The sequence below is a fragment of the Homo sapiens genome, chromosome 11 (assembly GCF_000001405.40).
Source record: "Homo sapiens chromosome 11, GRCh38.p14 Primary Assembly".
In the NCBI taxonomy this organism is placed as follows: domain Eukaryota; kingdom Metazoa; phylum Chordata; class Mammalia; order Primates; family Hominidae; genus Homo; species Homo sapiens.
Genome location: NC_000011.10, coordinates 63449998 through 63461352, shown reverse-complemented (window position 1 = coordinate 63461352; position 11355 = coordinate 63449998). Strand labels below are relative to the sequence as shown.

At 44.1% G+C, this 11355-nt stretch overlaps 3 annotated features.

Moving 5' to 3' along the window:
* Nucleotides 230–841: an enhancer, noted in NCBI's record as "H3K27ac hESC enhancer chr11:63227984-63228595 (GRCh37/hg19 assembly coordinates)". NCBI's record gives its function as "activates a minimal SCP1, AML or CMV promoter by ChIP-STARR-seq in primed H9 embryonic stem cells {active_cell/tissue: H9 hESC(primed)}" and the evidence as "EXISTENCE:reporter gene assay evidence [ECO:0000049][PMID:30033119]".
* Nucleotides 7783–8343: an enhancer, noted in NCBI's record as "NANOG-H3K27ac hESC enhancer chr11:63220482-63221042 (GRCh37/hg19 assembly coordinates)". NCBI's record gives its function as "activates a minimal SCP1, AML or CMV promoter by ChIP-STARR-seq in primed H9 embryonic stem cells {active_cell/tissue: H9 hESC(primed)}" and the evidence as "EXISTENCE:reporter gene assay evidence [ECO:0000049][PMID:30033119]".
* Nucleotides 8344–8905: an enhancer, noted in NCBI's record as "OCT4-NANOG-H3K27ac hESC enhancer chr11:63219920-63220481 (GRCh37/hg19 assembly coordinates)". NCBI's record gives its function as "activates a minimal SCP1, AML or CMV promoter by ChIP-STARR-seq in primed H9 embryonic stem cells {active_cell/tissue: H9 hESC(primed)}" and the evidence as "EXISTENCE:reporter gene assay evidence [ECO:0000049][PMID:30033119]".

Below are 11355 nucleotides of genomic sequence, written 5' to 3'. Positions count from 1 at the left end.
TGGTATTGGTTCACTTGGGCATGTCACATGGAGAATCAGAGAACTTGAAAGTGCTGGGTTCCTTAATGGTAGGGAGGCCCAGTACTAGTGACACATGATCCAGCAGGGGGCTGCGCACAATCCAGTTATTTTGCTTAATGATAGAAAAGATAACTTTAGGAAACAAACACCTCTGCAGAGATTTTAGAGCCATAAAGGAATCTGGTTTTGCTGCCTAGGGGTGGAGAACATGTCAGCCAGAGATGCCAACTGAAAAAAAGGGAATGGACCCCACCATAGGGGCAGCAGGGCAGAGGCGGCAGGGGAAAAGCCAGAAGGGACCCTTGGGTGACACCAGGAGTAGAAAGAAGCTGCTCTCTAGTTCCCAGTTTTAAGTTATTGTCACATACTCCCCTTTTGTTATCTTCAAGCTTTGTTATTCGCTGTTCTTGGGGAATAAAAGGAGAAGTATGGTTTGTGGTACCCAAAAAGTTTGTAGCTATGGAGAGAAGAGGCTCAGGACCAGTGGTGGTCCATAGGAAACAAGCAGACCAGAGAGGCACCATGTTGGTTGAAAATGTAAGCTACCTTTGGTATCCTCTGGAATATTTTGGGAAAGAACTGGATTTCCTGCAGTCATGTAGGAGCGGGGCTTTGTCAAAGAAGGAAGATTTTAAAGGGAAGGGTGATTCCTGACTCTGTAGGACTTGGGTCCTTATAACCCACATAGGCAAGTACAGCACAAAGGGCATAGGGGCTGGATATATAGCATTCTGGTGATCATAGGCCATTTTGATCTCCACACTGTTCCTCTAGAAACTTCTTATCACTTTAGGAGAACAACCAATGGTAATCCAAACTCTAAGAAGGCTATCTGAGCCACTTAAAGTTCTGTTCTCCCAAAGTTTCTGGTCGCATTATTTTCAAAGCCAATTTTCAGCTGGGCAGAATCTTTACTAGGAATCCAACTATTTGTGAACCCCATGCTGCTGCTTCTTGGCAGACAGCAAAAGTGTATTTTTTTTTTCCAGGAGTATGGTGGTATTTACTTTGTTTTAAAAATATTCTTGTTGGGGGTTCTGGCAAGATGGTCGAATAGGAACAGCTCCAGTCTGCAGCTCCCAGTGAGACCTATGCAGAAGGCGGGTGATTTCTGCATTTCCAACTGAGATATCCTGTTTATCTCATTGCGACTGGTTAGACAGTGGGTGCAGCCCATGGAGGGCGAGCATAAGCAAGGTGGGGCATCACCTTACCCGGGAAGTGCAAGGAGCAGGAGGCCTCCCTTTCCCAGCCAAGGGAAGCCATGAGGGACTGTGCTATCCCACCCAGATACTATGCTTTTCCCATAGCTTTTGCAATCCGCAAACCAGGAGATTCCATGGTGAGCCTACACCACCAGGGCCCTGGGTTTCAAGCACAAAACTGGGCGGCTGTTCGGGCAGACACCGAGCCAGCTGCAGAAATTTTTTTTTCATCCCCTGGTGGCGCCTGGAACCCCAGAGAGTCAGAACCGTTCACTTACCTGGAAAGGAGGCTGAAGCCAGGGAGCCAAGTAGTCTCGCTCAGCAGGTCCCACTCCCATGGAGCCCAGCAAGCTATGAATCACTGGCTTGAAATTCCTGCTGCCAGCACAGCAGGAATTGACCTGGGATGTTGACCTGGGATGATTGAGCTAGCAGAAGACAAGAAAAAAGTAACATCAGAGTGGAACTGAAGGAGACAGAGACACAAAAAACTTTTCAAATAATCTGAATCCAGGGGCTTTTTTTTTTTTTGAAAAAATTAAGGAAATAGACTGCTAGCTAGACTAATAAAGAAGAAAAGAGAATATCAAATAAACACAATAAAAAATGATACAGAGTTTCATTTGCATCCTTGTGAAGAGACCACCAAACAGGCTTTGTGTGAGCAACAAGGCTGTTTCACCTGGGTGCAGGCGGGCTGAGTCCGAAAAGAGTCAGCCAAGGGAGATAGGGGTGGGGCTGTTTTACAAGATTTGGGTAGGTAAAGGAAAATTACAGTCAAAGGGGGGTTGTTCTCTGGTGGGCAGGGGTGGGGGTCACAAGGTGCTCAGTGGGGGAGCTTTTTGAGCCAGGATGAGCCAGGAGAAGGAATTTCACAAGGTAGTGTCACCAGTTAAGGTAAGGACTGGCCATTTTAACTTCTTTTGTGGTGGAATGTCATCAGTTAAGGCAGGAACAGGCCATTTAAATATCACTTCTTTTGTGATTCTTCAGTTACTTTAGGCTATCTGGATGTATACGTGCAGGTCATAGGGGATATGATGGCTTAGCTTGGGTTCAGAGGCCTGACATTCCTCTCTTCTTATATTAATAAGGAAAATAAAACATAATAGTGTTGAAGTGTTGGGGCGGTGAAAATTTTTGGGGGTGGTATGGAGAGATAATGGACGATGTCTGTCGGGGCTGCTTCGAGCGGGATTAGGGGTGGCGTGGGAACCTAGAGTGTGAGAGATTAAGCTGAAGGAAGATTTTGTGGTAAGGGGTGATATTGTGGGGTTGTTAGAAGAAACATTTGTCGTGTAGAATTATTGGTGATGGCCTGGATACGGTTTTGCATGAATTGAAAAATTAAATGGAATAAGAGAAGGAGAAAAACAGGTATTAAAGGACTAAGAATTGGGAGGACCTAGGACGTCTAATTAGAGAGTGCCTAAGGGGGTTCAGCATAATTACTTGCTTGGTTGGCAAGTTTTTGGGCTCTATCCTTGAGTTTTTTTATGTTGTCATACACCAGGCCAGATTGATTTAGGTAAAAACAACACTCTTCATTTAAGAATATACAGTCTTCCTTTTTCAGTAGTGAGTAAGTCAAGGCCTCAGCGGTTTTGGAGGACAACTGCAGCTAAAGAGTCAACTTAGGCCTGGAGGACTGATAAAGTTTGTGATATGTCTGTGATGCTAGCAGAGAAGTCATTAGAGACGCTACAGAAGGTCATGACAGAGGTTGAAATGCCTGTTATTGCAGTACCGAGAGCAATAGGGGAGGCAGAAAGTCCTAAACCGACAAGCAAGGGAATTAGTGGAATAACTCTTTTTTGTCATGTTGGTGTCATGAGGGGAACAGGGAACTCTTTGGTTCTATTTGCAAATTGAATTTTGGGGGTAAGGAAAACTAGTGTGCATGTGCCTGTCCAATTAGCAGGTAGACACATGTAGGTAGAGGATCCACAGAGGAAGAAGAGACCTTGTGTGAGGCAAAACTGGAGACGCAAAGTAAAAAGATGAGAAGGAGGGCTGAAAGGGGTGTCTTTTACCTAGACTCCTAGGGATCGAGCTAGGGCGGCAGCCATCAGAGGTTGTAATGGGGACTAATGGGGTAACAGCGTAGAGGGGAAGGTTTGATTTTCATGGTGTAGGAGAAAACGTTGAGTGTCTATGAGCAAACTTTTACTGTTATTTACGGGGCTGGGTATAAGCAAACAAGAAGAGGGCCTGGGAGGAGAGTCTGACGAGCAAGGGGAAGGTAGCCAAGAATGGAGTGAAATACTGGGTAAGTGTCTTCCTAAGCAATAATTACTGCTAATGTTTTTAAGTTTGCCAGTATTGATAGAGGGCTTGTCTGTAATACAGAGCTAGAAGGCTCCAGTTGTTTCAGTGATGTGCGTAGTTGGGCTTTGGAGATGAAGAGTAAAGGAACATCAAGAAGGTGAAAGGTTACCTAGGGGAATTCCAGTGGGTCTTTGCCAAGATATACATAAAGGAGTGGCCACAGGAATAGTAGTTTGTGTTGTGAGAGATCTAAATATGGGGGGAGTAGAGTTGATATAAGGAGAAAGGTTTTTTAAGTAAGTGCGGAGGAGGGCGGCAGCTTGCTGATATGAAATGTCTGGGGAGGTCTTGCTGGACCTGTCTAGAAAGTAAATGAGTTCTTCTGGAGGGTAAAGGTGAGGGCTGTTAAAGGAAGTTCAGAGTGTAGGGAGACAGGAGATGTTGCCTAGTCTGCATGTAAGGTGAGGACAGCTGTGTAGGCGCTGGAAGAAAGGGAAATGCAAAGCCAGCAGTTGTTCACTAAGGAGGGATTAGAAACAGCTAGGAGAGAATGAGTGAGGTTGATAGTGTGGTGGAGGTAGCTGGGGAGAGGTAGAGGGTGGCATAAGAATGGGAATGAGGATAAGAGTGAGTATAAAAGTAAAGAATAGAACTTCATCAGGGTGAAAGTATTGGAGGGTCCCCTGCCAGCAAAGATCATCTATCCTCTCTAAGAGGGAGTTAAGAGTTGCCAGTCCTGGGCAGTGGCAAGTCCCCGAGCTTGATGTGTAGGGAAGGGAGGGGGCTTGAATAATCCCTGAGGAGTAGCAGAATAGCAGATGGAACACTGAGAAGTTATTTCCTTGAGGATAGGTTTCCATGATGGAAAGAAAATGAGACGTTCTAAGAGGCGGGCTGGTGGCTTTTACTATAGCATAGCCTGCCTTTGCTGGTGTGTGGCGATTAGGCCTGGGGGAACTACCATCAATAAACTAAATGTGATCAGGGTAAGGAACAGGGAAGAAGGAAATATGGGGAAATGGGGTGAATGTCAGGTGGATCAGAGAGATACAGTCATGAGGGTCAGGTGTGGTATCTGGAATAATGTGGGAGGCTGGATTGAAGTCCGGGCCAGGAACAATGGTAACTGTGGGAGACTCAACAAAGAGTGAGTACAGCTGAAGGAGCTGGGGAGCAGAAAGTATATGCGTCAGGTATGAGGAAGAAAATAGATTTCAGAAGTTATTAGAACTGTAGAGAGTGAGTTGAGCATAGTTTGTGATTTTTAGGGCCTCTAAAAGTATTAAGGCAGTGGCAGCCACTGCATGCAGACATGAGGGCTAGGCTAAAACAGTAAGGTCAAGTTGTTTGGACAGAAAGGCTACAGGGTACGGTCCTGGCTCTTGTGTGAGAATTCTGACTGCATTAACCATGCCTAGGATGGAAAGGAGTTGTTGTTTTGTAGAAGGGATTGGGGTTTGGGAGATCAGCTGGACAGGATCAGCAGGGAGAGCACGTGTGTTTTTATGAGAATTATGCCGAGATAGGTAACAGATGAGGAAGAAATTTGGGCTTGACTGAAGTAATGGGGGCTGTCTGTGAAGCCTTGCAGCAGTACAGCCCAGGTAATTTGCTGAGCCTAATGGGTGTCAGGGTCAGTCCAAGTGAAAGCAAAGAGAGGCTGGGATGAAGGGTGCAAAGGAATAGTAAAGAAAGTATGTTTGAGATCCAGAACAGAATAATGGGTAGTAGAGGGAGGTATTGAGGATAGGAGAGTATATGGGTTTGGCACCATGGGGTGGATAGGCAAAACAATTTGGTTGATAAGGCGCAGATCCTGAACTAACCTGTAAGGCTTGTCTGGTTTTAGGACAGGTAAAATGGGGGAATTGTAAGAAGAGTTTATAGGCTCTAAAAGGCCATGCTGTAGCAGGTGAGTGATAACAGGCTTTAATCCTTTTAAAGCATGCTGCAGGATGGGATATTGGCATTGAGCAGGGTAAGGGTGATTAGGTTTTAATGAGATGGTAAGGGGTGCATGATCGGTCACCAAGGAGGGAGTAGAGGCATCCTATACTTGTGGATTAAGGTGGGGAGATACAAGGGGAGGATGTGAAGGAGTCTTTGAACTGGGGGAAAAGGTGGCAATAAGGTGTGGCTGTAGCCCAGGAATAGTCAGGGAAGCAGATAATTTAGTTAAAATATCTCGGCCTAATAAGGGAACTGGGCAGGTGGGGATAACTATAAAGGAGTGCTTAAAAGAGTATTTTCTAAGTTGGCATAAGAGTTGGGGAGTTTTAAGAGGTTTAGAAGCCTGGCCATCAATATCTACAAAAGTTATGGAGGCAAGGGAAACAGGCCCTTGAAAAGAAGGTAATGTGGAGTGGGTAGCCTCCGTATTGATTAAGAAGGGGATGGACTTACCCTCCACTCTGAGAGTTACCTAGAGCATCTGTGATGGTCCTGTAGGCTTCTAAGGTGATTAGGCAGTGTCAGTCTTCAGCTGCTAAGCCTAGAAGATCTGGGAAGGAGTCAGTCAGAGAACCTTGGGCCAGAGTTCCAGGGGCTTTGGAAGTGGCTGCCAGGTGAGTTGAACAGTCTGATTTTCAGTGGGGTCCTTCACAGATGGGACATGGCTTTGGAGGAATCCCGGGCTGTGGGCATTCCTTGGCCCAGTGGCCAGATTTCCATCACTTGTAGCAAGCTCCTGGGGGAGGAGGTTCTGGAGGAAACCCTGGCAGCTGTGGTTCAGGCGTTTGGAGTTCTTGTGTACTGGAGATATGGCTGGGGTTTGTCTCACAGTGGAGGCAAGGAATTGCAACTTAGAAATACATTGCTACTTAGCTGCCTCTACTTTATTATTATACACCTTGAAGGTAAGGTTAATTAAGTCCTGTTGTGGGGTTTGAGGGCCAGAATTTAGTTTTTGTACTTTTATTTAATGTCGGGAGCGGATTGGGCAATAAAATGTATATTGAGAATAAGATGACCTTTTGACCTTTTAGGGGCTAGGGCTGTAAAGCATCTCAGGGTTGCTGCCAAACGAGCCATGAACTAGGCTGCGTTTTTATATTTGATGAAAAACAGCCTAAATGCTATCTGATTTGGGATAAAGAAAAAGGAGCATTAACCTTGACTATGCCTTTAGCTCCAGCCACCTTTTTAAGAGGAAATTGCTGGGCAGGTGGGGGAGGGCTAGTCACAGAATGAAACTGTAAACTGGACCGGGTGTGAGGAGGGGAGGTGATAAAAAGGATTATAGGGTAGGGGAGCAGAGGCTGAGGAAGAATTGGGACCTAGCTCGGCCTGGTGAGGGGCAGCCTGGGGAGAGGTCAGATGTGTCTGTAGAAAAGGAAGATTGGAAACACTCAGTGATGCTTTGGGTTGGGACTGAGGGGACAGGTGGGAGGGAAAGAAGCAAGATTTGGGATGAGTTGCATTGGGAGCAGAGACTATGGAGGGACCGATGTGTAAAAGAATGCCTGGACATCAGGAACCTCAGACCATTTGCCCATTTTATGACAAGAATTATGTAGATTTTGTAGGATGGAAAAATTGAAAGTGCCGTTTTCTGGCTATTTGGAACCACTGTCGAGTTTGTATTGGGGTCAAGGGGTGTTGCAGAAGAAAATAAGGCATTTAGGTTTTAGGTCATGTGTGAGTTGAAGAGGTTTTTTTTCACTTGCATCCATGTGAAGAGACCACCAAACAGGCTTTGTGTGAGCAACAAGGCTGTTTATTTCACCTGAGTGCATGTGGGCTGAGTCTGAAAAGAGAGTCAGCAAAGGGAGATGGGGTGGGGCCATTTTATAAGATTTGGGTAGGTAAAGGAAAATTGCAGTCAAAGTAGGGGGGTTGTTCTCCGGCTGGCAGGGGTGGGGGTCACAAGGTGCTCAGTGGGGGAGCTTTTGAGCCAGGATGAGCCAGGAGAAGGAATTTCACAAGGTAATGTCATCAGTTAAGGCAGGAACAAGCCATTTTAACTTCTTTTGTGGTGGAATGTCATCAGTTAAGGCAGGAACCAGACATCTGGATATGTACTTGCAGGTCACAGGTGATATGATGGCTTAGCTTGGGCTCAGAGGCCTGACAGTTTTAAGTTCTTAAGAACACAGGCTAAGGGAGAAGGAGGAATGGAGGGTGGAAGCCTACCCATAGTGAAGGAGGCAAGCCCAGAGAAAAGAGAGAGTAGAGACACAGAGAGAAGGGGTGGGGGGTGCTTGCTCCCCAAGAAACATGGAGAGAAGTGGTCAGGGGGTTATTGTCCCCCAGAAAAGTGGAGAAGGGGTAGAGACATGGAGAGAAGGGGTTGGGGGTGTTCTTGCCCCCCATAAAAGTGGAGAAGGGGTAGAGAAATGGAGAGAAGGGGTCAGGGGTCAGACACCTCTGAAATGTGGGTGAATAATCAGGCAGGCATCCGCGTATGATTAAACACCAAGGGAAGACTGTCTTCCTGAGTCTGTGACCGGTGCTGGAGTTTTGGGTCCACGGATAAAATGCATCTCCTGTTTCTACAAGAAAAGGAAAGGAACTGAAATTAAGAGAAGGGAGAGATTGAAGTGTGGTGCCAAGATTGAAAGGAGAAAGAGGTTGAGGGATAGTGAGAGAGGTTGGAGAAGAGAGTAGAAAGAGGTCGCTTACTGGATTTAAAATTGGTGTGATGTTCCTTGGGCTGGTCAGTCGGAGGACCTGAGGTCATAGGTGGATCTTTCTCACGGATCAAAGAGCAGAAGGACAGGGGATTGATCTCACAAGGGAGGTCCCCTGGTCCAAGTCATGGCACCAAAATTTCACTCGCTTCTGTGTGAAGAGACCACCAAACAGGCTTTGTGTGAACAATGAGGCTGTTTATTTCACCTGGGTGCAGGCAGGCTGAGTCTGAAAAGAGAGTCAGCGAAGGGAGATAAGGGTGGGGCTGTTTTATAAGATTTGGGTAGGTAAAGGAAAATTAAAGTCAAAGGGGGGTTCTCTGGCAGACAGGAGTGGGGGTCACAAGGTGCTCAGTCAGGGAGCTTTTTGAGCCAGGATGAGCCAGAAGGAATTTCAGAAGCTAATGTCATCAGTTAAGGCAAGGACTGGCCATTTGCACTTCTTTTGCAGTTGAATGTCATCAGTTAAGGCAGGAACAGGCCATTTAAATATCACTTCTTTTGTGATTCTTCAGTTACTTCAGGCCATCTGGATGTATACATGTAGGTCACAGGGGATATGATGGCTTAGCTTAGTCTCAGAGGCCTGACATACAGGATATCACCACTGGTCCCACAGAAATACAAACTACCATCAGAGAATACTAGAAACACCTCTATGCAAATCAACTAGAAAATCTAGAAAAAATGGATAAATTCCTGGACATATACACCCTCCAAAGACGAAACCAGGAAGAAGTTGAATCCCTGAATAGATTGATAACAAGTTCTGAAATTGAGGCAGTAATTAATAGCCTATCAACCAAAAAAAGCCCAGGACCAGATGGATTCACAGTTGAATTCTAACAGAGGTACAAAGAGGAGCTGGTACCGTTCCTTCTGAAACTATTCTAAACAATAGAAAAAAAGTGATTCCTCCCTAACTCATTTTATGAGGCCAGCATCATCCTGATTCCAAAACCTGGCAGAGACACAACAAAAAAAGAACATTTCAGGCCAATATCCCTGATGAACTTTGATGCGAAAATCCTCAATAAAATACTGGCAAATCAAATCCAGCAGCACATCAAAAAGCTTATTCACCATGATCAAGTTGGCTTCATCCCTGGGATACAAGGCTGGTTCAAATACACAAATCAATAAATGTAATCCATCACATAAACAGAACCAATGACAAACACCACATGATTATCTCAATAGATGCAGAAAAGGCCTTCGATAAAATTCAACACCCCTTCATGCTAAAAACTCTCAATAAACTAGGTATTGATGGAACATATCTCAAAATAATAAGAGCTATTTATGACAAACCCACAGCCAATATCATACTGAATGGGCAAAAGCTGGAAGCATTCCCTTTGAAAACTGGCACAAGGCAAACACACCCCTTCTCACCACTCCTATTCAACATAGTATTGGGACTTCTGGCCAGGGAAATGAGGAAAGAGAAAGAAATAAAGGGTATTTAAACAGGAAGAGAGGAAGTCAAATTGTCTCTGTTTGCAGATGACATGATTGTATATTTAGAAAACCCCATTGTCTCAGTCCCAAAACTTCTTAAGCTGATAAACAACTTCAGCAAAGTCTCAGGATATAAAATCAATGTACAAAAATCACAAGCATTCCTATACACCAATAATAGATGAACAGAGAGGCAAATCATGAGTGAACTCCCATTCACAATTGCTACAAAGAAAATAAAATACCTAGGAATACAACTTATAAGGGATGTGAAGGACCTCTTCAAGGAGAACTACAAACCACTGCTCAATAAGAGAGGACACAAACAAATGGAAAAACATTCCCTGCTCATGGATAGGAAGAATCAATATCATGAAAATAGCCATATTGCCCAAAGTAATTTATAGATTCAATGCAATTCCCATCATGCTGCCATTGACTTTCTTCACAGAATTAGAAAGAAATACTTTAAATTTTATATGGAACCAAAAAAGAGGCTGCATAGCCAAGACAATCCTAAGCAAAAAGAACAAAGCTGAAGGCATCACACTACCTGACTTCAAGCTATAATACAAGGCTACAGTAACCAAAATAGCATGGTACTGGTATCAAAACAGATATATAGACCAATGGAACAGAACAGAGGCCTCAGAAATAACATCACACATCTACAAATATCTGATCTTCAGCAAACCTGACAAAAACAAGCAATGGGGAAAGGATTTCTTATTTAATAATTGGTGCTGGGAAAGCTGGCTAACCATATGCAAAAAACTGAAACTGGATCCCTTCCTTACACCTTATACAAAAATTAACTCAAGATGGATTAAAGACTTAAACATAAAACCTAAAACCATAAAAACCCTAGAAGAAAACCTAGGCAATACCATGCAGGACATAAGCATGGACAAAGACTTAATGACTACAACACAAAAAGCAATTGCAACAAAAACTAAAATTCTAAAATTGACAAATGGGATCTAATTAAACTAAGAGCTTCTGCACAGCAAAGGAAACTATCATCAGAGTGAACAGGCAACCTACAGAATGGGAGAAAATTTTTGCAATCTATCCATCTGACAAAGGGCTAATATTCTGAATCTACAAGGAACTTAAACACATCTACAAGAAAAAACAAACAACTCCATCGAAAAGTGGGTGAAGGATATGAACAGACACTTCACAAAAGAAGACATTTATGCGGCCAAAAAACATATGAAGTAAAGCTCATCATCACTGGTCTTTAGATAAATGAAAATCAAAACCACAGTGAGATACCATCTCACGTCAGTTAGAATGGTGGTCACTAAAAAGTCTGGGAACAACAGATGCTGGTGAGGATGTGGAGAAATAGGAAAGCTTTTACACTGTTTGTGGGAGTGTAAATTAGTTTGACCACTGTGGAAGACAGTGTGGCAATTCCTCAAGGATCTAGAACCAGAAATACCATTTGACCCAGCAATCCCATTACTGAGTATATACCCAAAAGGTTATAAATCATTCTACTATAAGGACACATGCACATGTATGTTTATTGCAGCATTATTCACAATAGCAAAGACTTGGAACCAACCCAAATGCCCATCAATGTTAGACTGGATAAAGAAAATGTAGTAAATATACACCATGGAATCCTATGCAGCCATAAAAAGGAATGAGTTAATGTCCTTTGCAGGGACATGGATGAGGCTGGAAACCATCATTCTCAGCAAGCTAACACAGGAAGAGAAAACCGAACACTGCATGTTCTCATAAGTGGGAGATGAACAATG